This window comes from Homo sapiens, chromosome 7 (assembly GCF_000001405.40).
Source record: "Homo sapiens chromosome 7, GRCh38.p14 Primary Assembly".
Taxonomy (NCBI): domain Eukaryota; kingdom Metazoa; phylum Chordata; class Mammalia; order Primates; family Hominidae; genus Homo; species Homo sapiens.
Genome location: NC_000007.14, coordinates 63,917,009 through 63,937,553, shown reverse-complemented (window position 1 = coordinate 63,937,553; position 20,545 = coordinate 63,917,009). Strand labels below are relative to the sequence as shown.

At 41.9% G+C, this 20,545-nt stretch overlaps 3 long non-coding RNA genes and 2 pseudogenes across 12 annotated transcripts in view, besides 1 other annotated feature; 2 read left to right on the top strand and 3 right to left on the bottom strand.

Moving 5' to 3' along the window:
* Positions 1-11,649, bottom strand: part of LOC105375318 (uncharacterized) — a 32,262-nt gene extending 20,613 nt beyond the window's left edge. For both annotated transcript variants that reach the window (XR_007060342.1, XR_001745236.1), the window contains exon 1: positions 11,574-11,649. This is a non-coding gene — a long non-coding RNA (uncharacterized LOC105375318). The remainder of the gene's footprint in view (positions 1-11,573) is intronic.
* VN1R34P (vomeronasal 1 receptor 34 pseudogene) lies at positions 2,223-3,090 on the top strand (annotated as a pseudogene).
* SLC25A1P3 (solute carrier family 25 member 1 pseudogene 3) lies at positions 5,321-6,444 on the bottom strand (annotated as a pseudogene).
* Positions 9,640-16,528, top strand: LOC124901653 (uncharacterized). The gene is made up of 2 exons (XR_007060341.1): positions 9,640-11,700; positions 12,387-16,528. It is a non-coding gene; the product is annotated as an uncharacterized LOC124901653 (long non-coding RNA).
* Positions 11,208-11,267: an enhancer, noted in NCBI's record as "active region_26054". NCBI's record gives its function as "activates an Ori minimal core promoter by ATAC-STARR-seq in GM12878 lymphoblastoid cells {active_cell/tissue: GM12878}" and the evidence as "EXISTENCE:reporter gene assay evidence [ECO:0000049][PMID:35858748]".
* Positions 12,352-20,545, bottom strand: part of LINC02848 (long intergenic non-protein coding RNA 2848) — a 25,305-nt gene continuing 17,111 nt past the window's right edge. For 4 of the 9 annotated variants that reach the window (NR_186804.1, NR_186805.1, NR_186802.1 and 1 more), the window contains one exon: positions 19,560-19,756. This is a non-coding gene — a long non-coding RNA (long intergenic non-protein coding RNA 2848). Of the gene's footprint in view, positions 12,504-19,559; positions 19,760-19,986; positions 20,036-20,545 lie in introns of those variants that run through there. The other 5 variants (NR_186803.1, NR_186797.1, NR_186798.1 and 2 more) reach the window with 4 other exon arrangements.

The following is a 20,545-nucleotide window of genomic DNA, read 5'->3' as shown; positions in this document are numbered from 1 at the left end:
CTCAGCACGTCATGTATTTTGGGGTTCCCTTTTTGTCCTCTCTTCCATTCAAGGACTACTCTCTTACTTCACCAAAATACAGAGAATTTTTCTGAAAAATCAATAAAGTGTTTCAAATAAAACCTTCCCAACCTTTGCCTCTGGGGAAAACATAATTTTTATTAAATTATTTATGTATGTATTTGACCTCTGCTCTAAAAAGAGACACTACTCACTTCACACAAGGCTGTTAGTTATTTAGAAACATCCTTGAAAAGATTGTCCAAACAGAAGCTTATATAAGACATAAAACAAATTAACCGACAGGTCTATAAAAACTGTCTCCCAACAGAGTATAACATGCCCTTAAAAATACAGAAATATTAGTACGACCATTATAAAAAACACTGTGAACCTTTTTCAAATAATTAAAACAGAATTACCATATTATCCAGCAATTTCACTTCCAGATATACAACCAAAGAAAATAAAATTAGTCTCTAGAAGAGACATCTGCACTTCTATATTCATTGCAGAATTATTTACAATGACTGAGACATGCAAACAATCTACGTATCCATTAATAGATGAATGGATAAAGAAATTATGGAATATTTATATAATGGAATATTATTCAGCCATAAAAAAGAGAATTCTGCCATTTGCAACAATATGAATGAACCTAGAGGACATTAGCTTAAGTGAAATAAGCTAGACACAGAATGACAAATACTGTTTAATTTCACTCATGTATGAAGCCAAAAATGTCAAAGTCATAGAAACAGAGAGCACACAGTGGTTCCTAGGGGGTGGTGGGTGGAAGAAACGAAGACATGTTGATAAAAAGTGCAAACTTTTAGATATAAAATAAATAAGTTCTGGTGATTTAATTTATAGCATGGATGACCATGAATGTTGTCTTAGGCTATCCCTATTTCTGTAACAAAATATTTTAGAATAGGCAATTTATACAGAGTCTAAACTTAGTTCTCACAGTTATGGAGGCTGAGAAGTCCAAGATTAGGGCACCAGCAGGTACACATAATAGTACCTGCTAATTACATTAATTTGAGAATTACACTATGTATATGTATGTATGCATTTGTTGGAGCATCACATTTTAACCCTATGTTCCTTTTATGAAAATGTTACTCCTGTACAACTTTATTCTCTCTTTCCCTGCTAGTTTGGGTACTGATGTTTAAATCTACATATGTTACAAACACAATATGTTTTTATAGTTATCTGCTCATATAATTTTATTTGTTTTAAATTAGCTGAAATAAGAAAAAAGAGCACTTGTATATTTACAGGTTTATTTTGTTAAACTTCTTATTATTCATGGTATTATTTTAATCTTTCAGTTTTACTAATGTATTTTTTTAAATCTTTGTGGATACAAGTTATTACCTGGACAGATTTTCTTAGCCCAATATAGCTTTTTTTGAACCCACCTTCTCTGTGCTGTTATTGGCAAATAAATTAAATTTCTTTATGTTATATAAATTGCACTGAAGATGCAATTACAAACAATATTACAAAGTTGCTTTTGACAATCAGTAATATGAGAAAAAATATTTCTTATATTGCCTTAAATATTTGTTACATTTACTAGTCCTCTTTGTCTTTTTGGGGCATTGAAATTATCTGGGATTACTTGCATTCAGCCTGAAAACTTATTTTTATTCTTTCTCAAATGATCTGTCTGCTATCAAGAAATTGCCTCAGTTTTTATTTATCTGAAATGTTTTTATTTTTATTTATTTTTAATTGATAGTTTTTCTGAGGATAAAATTTTTAGTGGACAGTTTTTTGTCTTTGAGCATTGAAATATATATATTCTTAGAAGCTGAAAAGCTTTTACGAAGAAAAAAATTCGAGACCTGAGAATGTTCAGCGATTTGAGAAATTCAGAAAGGAAGGAAATGCTTTCTGAGGAGTGAGCCACAAGTACTATATGAGTATAGATAATGTGCACCCTACATAGGTGTGATTGTGGATGTGTGGATGTTTGAGATATGTATTTTATGATATTTATTTGTTATAAAATAAAGCTCAGGCTACATTTTAAAGAATTTATATAAGATAGTTGGGGTTAATCGAGATAAATGGGTAAAATTAAAATGATAATGTTGGTAATAATTTTGACCATGCAATAAATAGTGATGATAGGATATCTATTGCTTTTTTCAGATATATAAAGTATGATTCCTCTTCATGATTAAGATGACCTTGTTCCACTTATGATACTATTAAAAATTGCCCTTTTTTTCCAAGCCGGTATTAGACTCACAGCCAACACCTTCCTCCTTTTCTTCTGTATCTGCACACTCCCTCTGGACTGCAGGTCTAAGCCCACTGACCTCATCACCTGTCACCTGGCCCTTGTCCACTTAGTGATGCTCCTCACTGTGAGCTTCTTGGCATCTCCAGACCTGTTTGAGTCACAGTATTTTCAGAATGACTTCAAGCGTAAGGTATTCTACATGCATAGAGGGATGAGGGCTCTCCATCTGTACCACCTGCTTCCGGAGTATGTTCCAGGCTGTCACCATTAGCTCCAGCACCTCCTGGTCGGCAAGAATTAAACAGAAATTCACACGTTGCATCTTTCACTTCTTTGGGTTCTCAATTTGTTTCTCAGTAATAACCTGCCCTCCTCCACTGTGGCCTCTTCTAATGTGACCAATAGCAACGTGCTAAGTATCAGTAAATACTGTTCACTTTCTTACATAAGGGACAACATCAGGAGCCTGTTTTTCATGCTGCCACTACTTACAGATGTCTTCTTTGTAGCAATCATGTTTCTCTCAAGGGCATACATGGTAATTATTTTGTCCAGACATCAGAGACAACCCCAGTACCTTCCCAGCACCAACCTCTCTGCAAAAGCCTCCCCAGAGAAAAGGGCCACACAGACCATTCTGTTGCTGGTGAGTTGCTCTGTGGTCATGTACTGGGTGGACCTTATCATCTCATCATCCTCAACCCTGTTATGGGCTTATGACTCAGTCATCGTGGGTGTCCAGATGCTTGTGGGCAATTTCTGTTAGCCCTTTTATGCTAATTAGTTCTGATAAAAGAATAATCAAAATTTTGCATAATGTGTGATATAAATATCATAGATGATTAATAAATTATGAAAACAATTATCTGAAAAACAGATTTTGACATCAAATTTTTCAAGAAGCAGGCGATTTGATATATTATTTTATTACACTTTTATTTCATCTTAATACTTTTGAAAACTATGCTGCCAAGAACTTGGTGGTTTCTTTAGTTCAAAGTCCAACATCATAGTTCCCTTTGTCCACAAGTTTCTTACATTTAATTTTGATTCCCTAAATTTTATATAAGACAACTTTTCTATCTTCTTAAAGTGTACACTTAAGATGCTCCTGTTGGTAGATGAAATTTCTCTTTGTGTGTGTGTGTGTGTGTGTGTGTGTGTGTGTGTGTGTGTGTGTGTTTACTTTCGAAGGTTATTTAGTTTACCCTTATTTATTTAAAAATATGCTAGTTGTGTATTCAATTATAGGTTGAACAATAATTTTTCAGCACTCTTAGTATCTCCTTCTCAGTTTTCTGGCTCTGCCATGGGCTGTGGAGATTTTATTCTCACCTGTGTAGATTCTCTCTCTCTCTCTCATGGATTTTAATTTTCTTCATTCTCTTTGGTGTTATGCAGTTTGACTTATCGTGTTGGATATCTTTCTTTATTGCTCTCTCACTTTTTTTTTTTTTTCGGAGATGGAGTCTTTCTCTGTCACCCAGGCTGGAGTGTAACGGTGCAATCTTGGCTCACCGCAACCTCAGTCTCCCAGGTTCAAGCGATTCTCCTGCCTCAGCCTCCAGAGTAGCTGGGATCACAGGTGTTGGCCACCATGCCTGGCTAATTTTTCTGTATTTTTAGTAGAGACGAGGTTTCACCATGTTGCCCGGGCTGGTCTCAAACTCCTAACTTCAAATGTTGCGCCCACCTTGGCCTCCCAAAGTGCTGAGATTACAGGCATGAGCCACCGCACCCGGCCTCTTTATTGCTCTCTTTCAGGCACAGTGTCTCTTTTAGGCACATGTCTGGTTTTTAATTTCAGAAATTTGTAAATAATTATTTATTAGTATGACATTATTTGTATGGATTCAAGTGAAATAATTGTGCTTTACTCTTTCTATTCTTCACATATGTATAATTGCATACATATTGCTATTATTTTGTTTCTCTTCCTTTTATTTGGTTATATTCGTTCTGCTCAAAATTCCAATTCATTAACCCAGTTTACTAATTCTCTCATCATCAACTTAGTCTAATTTTATAATTAACTCACATATTGTATATTAAATTTCTTTATGTTTAAATTATTCCATTTCTATTTGCTCTTTTCCAAATTTGTTTGTTCAGTTTATAGTTTCCTGCTCTTTCAAAAATTATTTTGATATCATCTTTTCCCCATTTGTTTTTACTTAAACATTTAAAATAATTAAATTTAATATTTTATATTAATATTTATAAATATAAATATATTTATAATACTTTTTACATTTAAAATATTATAAATATATTTCCAGTATGCAAAGTTTATGTGATATCAAATTTCTTCCAAACCGGCCAGGCACAGTGGCTCACGCCTGTATTCCCAGCACTTTGGGAGGCCGAGGTGGGAGGATCACTTGAGGCCAGGAGTTCCAGACCAGCCTGGGCAACATAGTGAAACCCGTCTCTATTAAAAATACAAAAATTAGGCGGGCTTGGTGGGGCGTGCCTGTAATCCCAGCTACTCGGGAGGCTGGGGAAGGAGAATCACTTGAACCCGGGAGGTGGAGGGTGCAGTGAGCCAAGATCGTGCCACTGCACTCCAGCCTGGGCAACAGAGCAAGACTCTGTCTCAAAAAAAAAAAAACAACAAAAAAACTTCTAACCCTTTTTCCTCGTACCTTATCTTCTTCTGTGCTTCATACTTTATTTTTTATTTTTTGCAATAGGATCCGGTTTACTCTGCCTTGGCAGGGTGATCCTGAGAGTGGTGGGTGTCACCCTCTCCTGGGCGTAGGGAGGGCCAGCGGGCCAGTTAAGCCAATAGTGGGAGAAGCGCTGGTGGGGGGCGGGATTTGGGGGTCAGGGGTGTAATCCCGAGAATGCGGTGAAACCAGGCCGAGGCCTGGAGGCAGCTGTGGTAGCCCAGGGCAGGGTGGAAGGCAGTGGACTGGGACTGGGCCAGGGCGACAGGCTCGAGGACCCAGGCCACACGGGCACCCTGGGAGGTGGGGCGCAGTGTCACATGACGCAGAACATGAATCACAGGCCCAGGGCTCACAGTAAGCACATGGACAAGGGGGCACAGACTCACAGGCCAGATGGACATCCAGCCAACACCGGGCCAGACAAGTGGACACAGGGCCGCTGTCACATACAGACCACGGGGCGACATGGCCCTAGGGGACACACAGACTTGACGTCATAATGCACAAGGCAGGTCACAGAGCTCGAGGGACCTGGGCAGGGGCCGCTTGGCATTTCTGCACTGGAATCCTGTGAGACAAGGGTGGTGGCCGCTCTGGAGGTGCCTGGGGCGGTCCCCTCAAGGCCCTTCCGGGCTTACTCCGTCTTCCACACTGTTGAGCAGCTTTCCTACCTCATGGCAGAGGATAAACACTGTGGTCACATCCAGGCAGACCCGGCCCAGGTGGGGGACAATGCCGTTGTAGAAGGCCTTGAGCCCTTCCTTTCTCAGGATTTGCAGCCGCAGTCCCGTGTGTTCTGCATTTGTGCTTTTCAGGCCCCGCATCCGGGTCTCGATCCCGTGCAGTGGAGCGTTTCCCAAGACACTGGCTGCGCCTGCAATGGCTCCGAAGGCCCCAGCGACCAGCGGGTTCATGGGCTTGCTGGGGTTGTCCCCTCGGTACCAGCTATGCAGGGGGGTCAGGAGAAGAAGCGGATGGCCTGGTTCCAGCCCTGCTTCAGCGCGGGGGCCGTGAGGCCCCGCTGGGTCCCCTTGTTCCCGCACAATCTCCCTAACCCCGGTGGGAGACTCCTCTGCACTGGACGTCTGGGGAGGTCTGGCGGTGGATGAACTTCACCTTGATGGCGTCCATGGGAAATATGACCACCACGGCCCCGGCCACGCGGGCGCCCCAGCCGCACAGCAGCCTGCGTTGTTGTAAGGCCGTCCCTGGGCATCCCTCGTCTGGCTGCTGAGGAACAGGAACATTCAGAACCCAAAGCCGCCTTGGGGATAGAGCGGCAGAGCAGGGAGCCGAGGCCGCGGTGCTGGCCCGGGATGCCGTGGCCGCGACAGTGTACTCGCGGAATCCATGCGCCGTGTCCCGCGGGTGCGAGCGCTCGTCGGGCTGCAGGTGCGTCCTCCCGCGCTCCGTGGGCAACGGACGCCGATTTCGATGTCGCGGGCCTGGCCGCCTGCCAGGGTCGCCTTCCCCGGAGCCTCCGCTGGGCCTTCTTGGACGCGGTCGGGCCACGGCGGGCGGGAGGCGGGCGCCCAGCATGGTCTGAGGTCCCAGCATCCTGAACTCCACACTGGGACCTTAATTTGGTTTTAACACAAATAAATATTCTCACTAAAGATAAAAAGGGATGTCTTGGCTTCTAATTTTTGTTAAAAGCAATAGCATATGTTGTATAGGATAGTGCATTGGGGTAAATGGGTTTTTTATTCTTTTTATTTTTTTCATCAGCCCACTGGCATTGAAAGGGGATAGTTTTTAGGTTATCGATGAGCGATTTTCCCTCAGATAGGCCTTAGTGTAGGGGTTTGTGGTCATGTAGATGAGAGGTAGGCTGGGATTAAAAGTCGTTATGGCAGTAATAGCCTTCTGATGACGAGGAAATTCAAATCCCTTTCATGATACTTTGCTAATATCTCCCGGGTTTGCTGTGCCTTCCCTTTGTGTCTCTTCCCACACATGGTTTCTTGCACTTGGCCCAGCTATATTCCACTGTTCTTTTGACTCCATGCTTCTTAGCCTGGTAGCAGCGGTGAGGGAGTGAGGGGATCTCCAATGTTCTGAGGAAGCCTCAGACTTAGCACTGTGAACTGGGGTGTGGGGTTACTGACATTTGAAGAGTTTCCTGCCCCTCCTGTAGATGCAATGCCAGGGCAAGAACACATTCCTGTCCCTACTTGTCCATGGTAGGGGAGAGATACTCCTTCTCCATGTTCTTAACTCCCAGTTGAAGTGGGCCTGCAACAGTGCCCTGTAAGTTAATAATTTGTTTTCTTTATGGGAGATGCATCTGTGCAAAAATGTGGGTGTTGGCCTTGTTTCTCTACCCTCAGTTCGGGAGTTTTTCCCCAGTGCCTTGTGACTCAGGTTTGGATGCTCTTTCTCTGCAGATTAGGCCTTGTGTCATATAGGGGAGATAGGAGAGCTGTGTCTCCAGAGTTGTAGCAGTGGATGGGATAGTGGTCCTTCCCCATCAGCACTGTGTGGGAGCATTCTCAGGATTCTACCCTATCTTCCCTGACAGGCCTTGTAGGGTACCTAGAAAAATTATACACAACAGTGTAAACCCTATATCTGTAGACTCCAAGGTTTCACATTCTCCTCACCCTCCCACACACAGCCACTAGGAACTAGTTCAAAATTTCTGGCTTAATTTTACCAGTTTTCATGGTTTTCAGGGTGCACATAAAACCTGGGGCCTGTGTGACCTGCAGGCTTCTGCATCCCCTGATGTTGGGTTTGTAGTCTGCCCCATGACCTCAGTTCTCTAAAGGGCTCAGGAGAAACCATCCATTCATTTGCAGTTTCTCCAGGGTTTTGTTTGCTTGTTTTATGTGTAGGAGCAACTCTTTGTCAGGTCTCTATATCTACAAACTTAACTCAGAAACTAATATTTTTAAACACATTATCATACTTTTAGTGCTCCTCTATGCTAATTGTTCTTCAGTATTTTTTATATTTGTATGTCTTTATTTTAAAACCAGGCTTAATCTAATTCATAACAATCTAATTCATAATCTTAATCTAAGATTAATTCATAATTTTAATCTAATTCATAACTGTTCTTTCATGTATTCCCTGTGTAACTTTCTTTTCAGACATTTATTGTTGTGTGTTTCAAGTGGAGGAGGTCAGATTATAACTGACATTTGTCCTTGACTACTAGACATTTCACTTCAGCCCTGATTACAGTTATACCTGAAGCCAGATCTACCCTTACCGTGTATTTATTTTACTATTCAATAAATATTAACTTATCATGAATGGCATATTTTATTACAGTTGTAGGTTTATGAAGCTGAACAATTAAATAAATAAAAACCAAATTACATGGCTTCAGGAGGGTATAATTTTTTAAGTTTTTGGTTCATTAAAACATTTTTGTCTTTTTGTGATTTGCAACCTTCAGTGATTTCCTTGAAACAGGAACCAGAGTTAAAACTGAAGTAGTAGGTGTTGGTGAGATTTTGATGGCTAAGAGCATCAGGCTCATTTTGTAACTGAGAGGGAAATTAGAACACGTCACCAGTTCGATGTAATCACAGTGCATTTGGATTAATCACCATGGCAACCCATGACTTGTATTTTAAGGGAGAATTGGAAATAAAATGACCAAGCATAAAGCTGACCCAGTCTAACATGAATCTTTGTCTTTAAAACATATCTGCGATACTCATGTAGGCAGTGTATAAATAACTTGTCAGAAATATCATTTATGCCAAGGTTCTTGAATTTTTAGGATTTTGTTTCTCCAGTAGTGTGTGTGTTACTGAGCAAAAGGGGCTTTCTATCCAAAACACCAGAACCCAAAAACTGTGGCAATGGGTTTTTCTTTTTAAGAAAAAAAAGCTTTTTATTATAATTTTTGTTTATAATTATATAATTTTAATTTTATTATGGTTGTTTTATTATAATTTTTATTTTAGTATCATTTAGGGTACAAGTGGTTTTTGGTTACCTGGATGAATTGTATAGTGGTGAATTCTGAGATTTTAGTGCACCTGTCACCTGAGTAGTATATAATGTATATATTGTACCAAATAGGTAGTTTTTTCACCCCCATCCACTCCCATCCTCTGCTTGTGAGTCTCCGAAGTCCATTATATCACTCTGTATGCCTTTGCATACGCATAGCTTAGCTCCCACTTATAAGTGAGAAATAATGGTATTTGATTTTCCATTCCTGAGTTATTTCACTTAGAATAATGGCCTCCAGCTTCATTCAAGTTTCTGCAAAAGACATTTCATTCCTGAGGTGCTGACCTTCGGTTTACTGGACACATCTCATAGACAGGGCAGAGGATGAGGGCAAGATCCCTCTAAGGCACTCCCCCACGCCCTACCACTCCTGCTCTGGAAGGACCCCTGAAGGGCACTGGAAGGGTTGGACTTCTCAGTGCAAGCCAACACCCACACCTGTGAGTACCAACAGACCCAGAGAGCAGCAGGAGCCCCTCACTTCTGAGAACCCCTCCCAGGATGTCAAGACTTAAGCCAGGGAGTAGAGAGAATCAGTCTCTCAGACCCAGAGAGGATTCAGGGAAAGGGCACAGGAGAACCCAGCCCAGAGCCAGAACACAGTTCAGCTCAGTGTGGGAACTCGCAGCATGGAGTGGATGGCCCTGCACGGCTGAAGAGACCAGTGTGAGGGGGAGTCTCACCCATTGTGGAGTCAGGCCCTTATATTAGGTGGCGAGAGGGTGAGGTGAGAGTTACAGCCCTTCCCAGCTGAGTTCTGGACCAGGGCTGGAGCCCAGGCCAAACATCCCTGGGGAAAGGGTGTGAGGCAGGAAGCCCTGAGCCAAGTTGAACACTGGGGTGCTGTCCCCGGAGCAGCCTGGGATGCCCTGACAGCACCCATGCCACAGTCTGCACACACCCCTTACTCTGAAATTAACAGCCTGTAGGGGTGTCCTCAGTATCAGAACAAGTGGGCCACACAAAGCCCTCGAGGACTCCAGGAACCCAGTTCCATGGGGTGCAGCCCTGCAAGGGCCAGATGAGCTGGGTAGAAAAGCTGACGAAGTCTTCCTTCCTTCCAGCCAAATCTGGAAGAAAGGCCCCTGGCCTGGAGCAGTGTTCCTGGTATCCAGGCCTCTGTGGGCATCCCTCAGCACAAAGACCCTCTCCAAGGGGGATGGGACGGCCCTTCTAGGACCACCGGCCCAGCTCCAGAAGCCCATGGGTAATCCCCACCGTCACCTGACTGAGCTGTCCCTGAGGCTAAGGCCCAGCAGCATGAAGGGACTCCCACAGAAACCAGGGCAGTAGGCTGCTCTCTGGCGGCACTGGGGGAGCAGGGTCTGGCTAACCTGTCCCTGGCTCAGGACACATGCCTGGAAATTAGGGTTTTCTCCTCTGCTCTTAACATCGCCTGGGTAAACCAATAATTACCCTCCCTCATGTTTCATAATTCACAACTATGTAAAAGTTGCTGGTGAGGGTGACATTTCCAGGAAGCCACAGCCCATGTCACCCCCCTGCAAAGTTGTGACCTTATCCGCGGACAGGTCAGGCGGCAGAGTTCTCCCAAAAGCGGGTGAACTGGCGCTCTGGCTGGAGGGTGTAGAGGGCAGCAGCACAATGGACAGCGTCTGGGACCTCAGGCCAGTTCCACAGCAGCTTAGGAGAGCAGGCGGCTCCCTGGGCTGGAGGAGGCGCGACGCTTTTGAGGGAAACCGAGCTGAGCAGCGGGAGATGGAGTGAGGCTGAGACCCGTCCGATTTGGGCAAAGGCGAGATGCACTTCGCAGCATCACACCCTCCTCACTGCCCAGCACCGACCTACCCCTCAAGTCCCTCTCCGGACTCAATCCCCTTAGCCAGGGTGGCACAGACTGAGGGGCCAGCGTAGGTTTGGAAGCAGAGAGGTCCACACGGCCCAGCTCCTCCCTCTGAGGCTGCGCACCACCCCCGAGCCCGGCGCTTGCTGGGACTGTAGGCCGGTAGCCCTGCGACCAATGGCCGAAAGCGGTTAAGAAACTACTCCTCCCAAGCTTGCAGTGAGCCGAGATCGCGCCACTGCACTCCAGGCTGGGCGACAGAGCGAGACTCTGTCTCAAAGAAAAAAGCAAAAAACAAAAAAAGAAACTACTCCTCCTAGCATGCCTTACGAGGCGCGCACCGCCCTCTCCAGGTATCATCACCAACCCATTCCCCTTGCATGCTGGGATTGTAGTCTCGCAGCCCTGCGAACAACGGCCGAAAGCGGTGAAGAAACTACTTCTCCCAGCATGCCTGGCGAGGCGCGCCCCGCGCTGCCCCCCCAGGTGTCCTCACCAACCCCACTCCCGTTGCATGCTGGGATTGTAGTCCCGCAGCCTTGCGACCAACGGCCGGAAGCGGCTAAGACACTACTCCTGCCAAATACCCTGCAGTAGCGCACCGCGCTATGTCTCCCTCCAGGGATCTGTACCACTCCCAATCCTGTTTCGTGCTGGGATTGTAGTCTTGTAAACCTACAACTAACACCTGGGTGCGGATAAGAGACTACAGCTCCCATCATTCCCAGCAAAGGGCCGTTCTGCACCGAGCTCTTTCAGGATTCCAGTGCAGTTCCGCCATGCGGAGGGAAGCTTGGCTGTTCACAAACCTCTCCTGCACTCGAGGAGACAGCTTGGCCGGGGCAGCTGATCTCACCTTGTCATTGTGACACGGTGTCTCCCCAACGTGCCGACTTCATGACTTGTCGTGCCCAAAGTTTACTTTCTCGCAGAACCGGTAGAGGCCAAGAGCTTCTCAGAGCTTCCGCCGCAGGGTTGCCATGGTAACGCTCGTTTCACCCCACCCCCCCCCCGCCGGGTCGACCCCACCCGTTCCCACTGAGGGGCCTCTCCTTTTAGCCCCACCCTCTATTGTTCCTCCCCTGGCTACATGCGCAGTGCTGCCCCTTGGTCCGGCGACGGAAGCTTCCTCGTGAGTGTCCTAAACCGTTGTTTGCTGCCTCATGTGAAGGTGCCCAGTCTCTGGTAACCTGGCACTTCACTTTTGAAAACCACCTTTTTTTCGGTCTCCCTTTGCTCCCCAGATGCACCTATTGGACCCCGGGCTGGCTGCATGGCCGGCGTCTGGGTCAGGCCTCGCACACAGACGCTCCTGTCACTGTGATAAAGAGGAGAAAATGTCCCAGGAGAAAGGGACATTTTGCGAGCCACATCCACCACTTCTCTGCCCCCCCACACAGGCTGGTTCCCAGGCCCCGGGGTCCTGGTGTGGACCTGCCTGCCGTAATTAACGCAGGTGCAGGACCTGAGCGCCTTGGTCCCTCCCAACACGTGAGAGAAGTTTGTGTGGTGAGGTTTGGACAGTGTCTGTGTTTCTGCCCTGAATAGGGTTCCCTGGAAAAACTTTATCCCTTTTTAAATACTCCCTTTGGTACCGCTTTTAAGACTTTGCCGGTGGAACTTAACAGTGATCATTTTTTTGAATCCATTTTTATATTTGCTTTTTTAGATTAACTCTTAAGTACTCCACGCTTCTGAAACGGGCGTAGGCACAGCGTCAGTTCTGTACAGTGCGGACGCAGCAGGACAGAATCTCCCTGGGCATCTTTCTGGAGCATCAGTTTTACTGCAAGATTTTAAGAAACAAATTTAATTGATTTCCAAGTTAAGAAATTAAACCTTGAAAACTAGACTAAAAAGTCATCTGCACCTGACGTAACAGACTTTCTGCAGGAAGAAAACTCTAAGGAGAGCATATTGTCCATTATTATAAATAGTGAAAATGAGAAATCATAGCAAGTCCCTTGAAAACCCTGCCCTGCCAGTCTTCTAATAGGGCCTTGGTATGGTTTTATGTGTATTTTCTTTTTGAAGTGTGCTCACCTTTTGAATATACAAATTTGGGGTTTTGACCAAATTTTGCAAGTTTTCGGCTATTGTTTATTTGCTTTTGTATCACATTTAATTTTTCTGTCTCTCCCTCTCCTTCTCGGACTCAGTCATTCCACAGGTCTCCAAGGCGCTTTTCATTTTCTTCAAACTTGTTTCACTCTTCAGATTGGATGATTTCTATTGCTGTCTTCTGTTTCTACTGTTTATAAACTCAACGGTCTTTTTAATTTTTCATTTCATTATCTCTCTATTCCATTCTTTTCATCATTTCCATTTCTCTGCTGAGGCTCCACATGAGTTAATTCATTATGAGGATGTTTTCCTTTATCCCCATGAACATACTATACTTATAATAGCTGCTCTCAAACCCTTGTCTGCTGATGACATCGTCTTGGACATCTTAGAATTAGCTTCTGCTGCCTGCTTTTTATCTTGTGTATAGATTACATTTTAACGTTTCTTCACACATTTCATGAATTTTAATATTGTGTACTAGAAATTATAAATAGTAGTTATAGAGACTTTAAATTCTGTTGTATTCCTTTGAAGAGCATTGTTACTTGAAGAGGGGTTAATCTGACTGGATTCAAACAGCAATACCTACCTCCCCTACAGTGGACACAGTTGAAATCCTCATTCGGTGAACACACACACGCATGTATTGTATATAGTTGTGCATTTCTGTGTAACTATATATATTTTATCCAGATTTTCTCGTTACCTGTGAGAGTGTTCAACAAGCTACTCTAGCATTACTGAAAGTCAGAACCTCAGTTTTGTTTGCTTATTGGATTTGAATACATAATGCCTTTGTTTTCTTTTGTAACATTTTTCAATTTGAAGTCTTATTTTGTCCGATATTAATATAGGACAACCCAAATCTCTTTTGCTTATTATTTGCATGAAATATCTGTTTTTCTCTTTTCACTTTCAACCAGTTGTGTCTTTCAGTCTAATGTGAGTCTTGTACAAACATGATAGTTGCATCATGTTTTTTAGTCTGTTTTGCTGATCTCTGCCTTTTAATTTGATAGTTCAATCCATTTACATTTAAAATAATTATTCATAGGTAGATTTCTGTCATTTTGCTATTTGTTTTCTGTATACCTTACGTCTTTTTATTTTACATTTTCTACATTATTTTCTTCTTATGTATTGGGTTAATTTTTTTTAGTAAAATATTTTAACTTTTTATTTCCTTTGTGTATATTCTATAGCTTCTTTTTGTGATTACCATCATGGTGATGACATTTAACATCAGAATTTATTTATTTTAATTGCTGCATAGTACTATATTCAATTATATGAACATAGTATAATTTTTAAATCTATTCTACTTTTGATAGTCATCACTGGGATATTTAATATGACTTATTTTTTAGATGAGTATCGAGTTTACATAAACATTGAGCGGAACATACAGAGTTCCCATATATCCTCTCCCCACACCCAGCTTCTCCTCTATTATTAACACCTTACATTAGTGTGGCATATTTGTTACTCTTAATGAACTAATATAGAAAAGTTATTAACTAAAATCTAAAGTTTGCATTCGAATTCATGTTTTCTGTTTTACACTCTGTGGATTTTGACAAATGCATGATGACATGACATGTATCCATTATTGCATTATACAAAATAGTTTTATTGTCTTAAAATATCCACTGTACTCCATCTATTCATCTCACCCCTTTTCCCCCCAAACTTTTGGAAAGCACAGGTCTTCTTACTGTGTCCATGGTTTTGCCTTTTACAGAATGTCATATAGTTGGAATCCTATAGTATGTAGCCTTTTCAGACTGTCTTTTTCACAGCCATATGTATTTAAGGTTCCTCACGTCTTTTCAAGCCTTGACAGCTCATTTTTTTAAATCAGTGAATAATGTTCTGTTGTATGCTTGCACCACAGCCAGTTTATTTATTTACCTATTGAAGAACATTATTTACCTATTAAAAACATTATTTACCTATTGAAGACCATCTTGGTTGGTTCCATGTTTTGGCAATTATGTATAAAAGTGCTCTAAACAGTCACCTGCGGAGTTTTGTGCAGATGAAAGTTTTCACCTCTTTTGGATTAAGGCCAAAGAGTGTGATTGCTGGATTGTATGTAAGTGTGTTTCTAGCTCTGTAAGAAACTGGCAAACTGTCTTCCAAACTAGTCATAGGACTTTGCATTTTCACCAACAAGCTCTTGTTATTCTACATCCTCACCAGCATTTAGTGTAGCCCCTGTTTTGGATTTTAGCCATTCTAATATGTGTGTGGCAGTATGCCATTGTTATTTTCAATTTCCCAATGACACGCTGTTGAGCATATTTTCATGTGCTTATTTGCCATGCTTATATGTTCTTTAGTAAGGATCTGTATCTTTTGCCATTTTATAATTGGGTTGTTCATTTCTTATTCTTGGGTTTTAAGAGCTCTGGAATTTTTTGCATATTTTTGATACCAGTCTTTTATCAGTTATGTGTTTTGCAAATATTTTCTCCCATTCTGTGGCTTGTCTTTTTATTTTTTAACAGTGTCTGACAATGCAGAAATGTTATTTTTAATATGGTTCAACTTAGCAACTTTTCCTTTCATGGATCATGTTTTTGGTGTTTTTGTTTTTGTTTTTCTTTGTGACAGAGTCTCGCCCTGTCACCCAGGCTAGAGTGCAGTGGTGCAATCTTGGCTCACTGCACCCTCCTCCTCCTGGGTTCAAGCAATTCTCCTGCCTCAGCCTCCGGAGTAGCTGGGACTACAGGCATATGCCACCACGCCCAGCTAATTTTTGTATTTTTAGTAGAGACGGGGTTTCACCATGTTGGCCAGGATGGTCTCGATCTCTTCACCTCGTGACCCACCTGACTTGGCCTCCCAAAGTGCTGGGATTACAGGCGTGAGCCACTGCGCCTGACATTTTTGGTGTTTTATCAAAGGAGCAAAACCTGAGGTAATTCAGATTCTGCTCTTTGTTATCTTCTAGGAGTTTTGTGGTTTTTCCTTTTATATTGGTCTCTGATCCATTCTGAGTAATTTCTGTGAAAGTTGTCAGGTCTAGGTTTAGGGTTTTTTTTTTTTCTTTTTTTCTCTTGCATGTGGATGTCCAGTTGTTCAGTACTGTTTGTTGAAAAATTATTCATTCTCAATTGAATTGTCTTTGCTCTTTCCTCAAAGATAAGCTGACTGTATTTTTATGGGTCAATTTCTGAGCTTTCTCTTATGTTTTATTGATGTTTCTCTATTATTTTTTACCACTACCATGTTGTTTTGATTACTGTAGCTTTATAGTAGTGCTTAGAGTTGGGTAGTGTCATTCCTATAACTGTCCTTTTAAAATATTTTCTTCGTTATTCTGAGCCTTTTGCCTTTCCATATGAACTTTAGAATCAGTTTGTCAATATCCACAAACTAACTTTGTGGAATTTTGATTGGGATTGCATTGAATATGTAAATGTAGTTGGGAAGTACTGACATTTTAACAATGTTGAAGCCTTCTTTACTTGAATGTGGATTATCTCTCCATTTATTTAGATCTTCTTTGATGTTTTTACAGTTTTGCCGGTTTCTTCATATAGATTCTATATTTATATTTATTTTGTTATATTTGTACCTAAGAATTTCATTGTTATTGGTGCTAGCCTAAATGTCACTGAATTTTTAAATTTCAAATTCTAACTACATTACTGATATATAGGACAGTAATTGACATTTGTATATTAATCTTATATTGTGCAAATTGCTATAATTTCTCATTAAAATTGGTTATTCTAAGATTTTGTTTTGTGATCTTTTTGTATTTCTCCATAGGCAATTACATCATCTGTGTAAAAGGACAGTTTTATTTCTTCCTTCCCACTCTGTGTACCTTTTCTATTCTTGTCTTATTGCATTACCTAGGGCTTATAGTATAATGTTATATAGGAATGGTGAGAGGAGACATGTTTGCCTTGCTCCTGATCTTAGCAGGAAAGCATCTAGTGTTTCAACATTCAGTATGAGGTTAGGGCCAGGCGCGGGGGCTCACGCCTGTAATCCCAGCACTTTGGGAGGCCGAGGCGGGTGGATCACGAGGTCAGGAGATCGAGACCATCCTGGCTAACATGGTGAAACCCCGTCTCTACTAAAAAATACAAAAAAATTAGCTGGGTGCGGTGGCGGGCGCCTGTAGTCCCAGCTACTCAGGAGGCTGAGGCAGGAGAATGGCGGGAACCCGGGAGGCGGAGTTTGCAGTGAGACGAGATCGCGGCACTGCACTCCAGCCTGGGCGACAGAGCGAGACTCCCTCTCAAAAAAAAAAACAAAAAAACACACACATTCAGTATGAGGTTAGATGCAGGGTTTGTTTGTTTGTTTGTTTGTCTGTTTGTTTGTTTTAGATGGAGTCTCGCTCTGTCTCCAGGCTGGAGTGTAGTGGCGCGATCTTGGCTCACTGCAACCTCTGCCGCCCGAGTTCAAGCGATTCCTCTGCCTCAGCCTCCCAAGTAGCTGGGACTACTGGCATGCTGCACCACGCCAGGCTAGTTTTTTGTATTTTAGTAGAGACAGGGTTTCACCATGTTGGCCAGGATGGTTTCAATCTCCTGACCTCATGATCAACCCGCCTTGGCCTCCCAAAATGCTGGGATTACAGGCGTGAGCCACAGCATCTGGCCAGATGTAGGTTTTTTATAGACATTATTTATGAAATTGAAGTTTTCTTCTATTTCTAGTCTTCAGAGAGGTTTTCTCATGAATGGGTTTTGGATATTGTCAAATGATTTTTCTGAAAGTATTGATAAGATCTTATCTTTTTTTAACTTAATATGATGAACTAATTTTTTTTTAAGACAGAGTCTTGCTGTGTTGCCCAGGCTTATCTTGAATTCCCAGCCTAAAGTGATCCTCCCTCCTTGGCTTCCTACTGCATTAGGATTACAGGTATAAGCCACCACACCCAGCCTAATTTATTTTCAAATGTTGAACCAGCCTGGCATGCCTGTAATAAATCTCACTAGGTTGTAGTAAATAATTCTTTTTTTACATTTTTGGACTTGATTTCTTAATATTTGGGTGAGGGCTTTTGCATCTTTGTTCATGTGAGATATTGCTCTGCATTTTTTTGTTGTAATGTCTTTGTCTAAATTTGGTATTATGGTAATTCTGGCCCCACTGAATGACTTTGAAAGTATTCACTCTGCTTCTGTTTTCTGGAGGAGATTGTAGAGAGTTGGAATAATTTCTTTTAAATATTTACATAAATATACTAGGGTTTGGTACTTTCTGTTTGGTAAGGTTATTTATCATTGACCCAATTTCTTTAATAGATGTAGTACTATTCACATTGTCTGTTTCTTATTGTGTGATTCTGGTAGGTTGTTTTGTTTCTTTCAAGGAATTTGTCTATTTAGGTTATCAAATTTGTGGGCATAGAGTGGTTTATAATGTTTATTATTCTTTAATTCTTCATGTGCTCAGTAATGATAGATCCTCTTTCATTTCTAGAATTAGCACTGTCTTCTCTCTTTTTCAACTGTAACTAAAAAGGAACATTTTAAAAAGTGAAAGCTATTTTTGATAAACTATCTAATTTCTCATGATCTGCAACTGTGGGTACGTAGGAAGTACATGGAAACAGATGTTTGGCAGAGCTTGCCAGCAAATTCTTTCCTGCATCAAGAAGGCATGCCTCTCAGCATGACACTCTTAAGAGGGAGGAATGTGAAAAAAGAGGGATGTGATCTGCTCCTGGTGAAGAGCCACCTGACTCTCCCTCAGCTGCACATAGTGGCCTTAACGTGCATCTTGCTAGAAGGGGCATGCAAGCCAGGGGCTGCCAGCCAAGCCATACAGGCCAAGGACAGTTTCAAGTCTGCCTTTTATTTCATCGAACTGTTGTTCTAGTAAGCAGCTAGAGTTTTATGAACACTGTAAACTCTTTATCATATTTCTTTGCTATTTCTGGAGGATTTGTTCTAGGAGTCCTCTTGTATACCAAAATGCATGGATGCACAAGTTCTTTATATATAATGGCATAGTATTTACATATAACCTATGCATATTCTCCTGCATACTTTAAATCTTCTCTAGATTACTTTTAATACCTAAATTGTTGTTATACTGTATTGTTTAGGGAATAGTGAAAAGAAAAATAAAATTCTGTAAATGTTCAGTACAGAAACATTACTAAAAATATTTTTGAGGCTCATTTGTTGAATCCAGGAATGCAGAACCAATAAATAAGGAGGGCCAGCTCGACCTATGTTTGGAGTCCATGAATGTGTCCTCTTCCTGTGTTTGTAAATGGAAATTTATTTCACAAAATGACACAACTGCTTCTTCACTGACACGTTCAAAAACTTGCAAGAAGCAGCCGGGTGCGGTGCCTCATGCCTGTGATCCCAGCACTTTGGGATGCCAAGGCAGGTGGATCACTTGAGGTCAGGAGTTCAAGACCAGCCTGGCCAACATGGTGAAACCCTGTCTCTACTAAAAATACAAAAATTAGCCAGGCATGGTGGCAGGTATCTGTAATTCCAGCTACTCAAGAGGCTGAGACAGGAGAATCACTTGAACCAGGAGGCGGAGGTTGCAGTGAGCCAAGATTGTGCCACTGCACTCCAGCCTGGGTGACAGAGCAAGACTCTTGTCTCAAAAAACAAAATGAAACAAAACAAAAAAATATATACTGATAAAGACATTTTGTATTGGCAAAGGGTAAACTCATCAGGAAAATATAAAAAAATTATTCACATATATGCAGTTATCAAATAAGCACAGAAATACATGAAGCAAAAATGACAGAAATAAAGGGAGAAATAGATAATTCAACAGTAATAGTTGGAGACTTTAATGCTTCACTTATATTAATGGATAGAACAAGTAGACAGAAGATAAAAAATAGAAAACATGAACAACAACATAAAACAACTAAACCTAACAAACATATGCACAGCACTGCATCCAACATGAGAATATATATTCTTCTCAAATCCACATGGAACGTTCTCTAGGACAGACCACCTGCTGGGCCATAAAACATCAGTAAAAATAGAGATTGAGATAATACAATGGGTGATTTCTAATCATAATAGAATCAGAGATCAATGAAAGCAAGAAATTTAGGAGACTCTTAAGTATGTGGACATTAAATGGCAAAATCCCAAATAATTTATGGATCAAAAGAAAACCACAAATACTTATCAGAAAGTGTTTTAACATAAATGACAATGTAACCAAAACGTAAAACTTACGGAAACTGGTGAAAGCAGTGTTTTGAGGGAAACCTATACCAGTGAATTTCTTCATTAAAAAAGAAAGACAAATCTCAAGTCAATAACAAAAAAATCTCAATAACAAAAAAAAAACTCAAGTCAATAATAATAAGTTCTCCCAAACTTTTAAATGAATATACTACCTGGCTTTCCTGGGACAAAATATACTAATAGAGGAAAAAATAATCATGCTAAAAAAAAAAGCCCTAAAAGGAAAGACTGGGGAATGGGACACTTTGGGGATTGGGCTGTGATAATAGTCTAGGAAATTTAGGAGGTCATATGGAGGCTCAGGGCCAGGTATGCAGTCTAGAAAAACCCAGGAAGAGGGCCGGGCATGGTGGCTCACACCTGTAATCCCAGCACTTTGGGAGGCCAAGGCAGGTGGGTCACCTGAGATCTAGAGTTTGAGACCAGCCTGACCAACATGGAGAAATCTCATCTCTACTAAAAATACAAAATTAGTGGGGTGTGGTGGTGCATGCCTGTAACCCCAGCTACTTGGGAGGCTGAGGCAGGAGAATTGCTTGAACCCGGG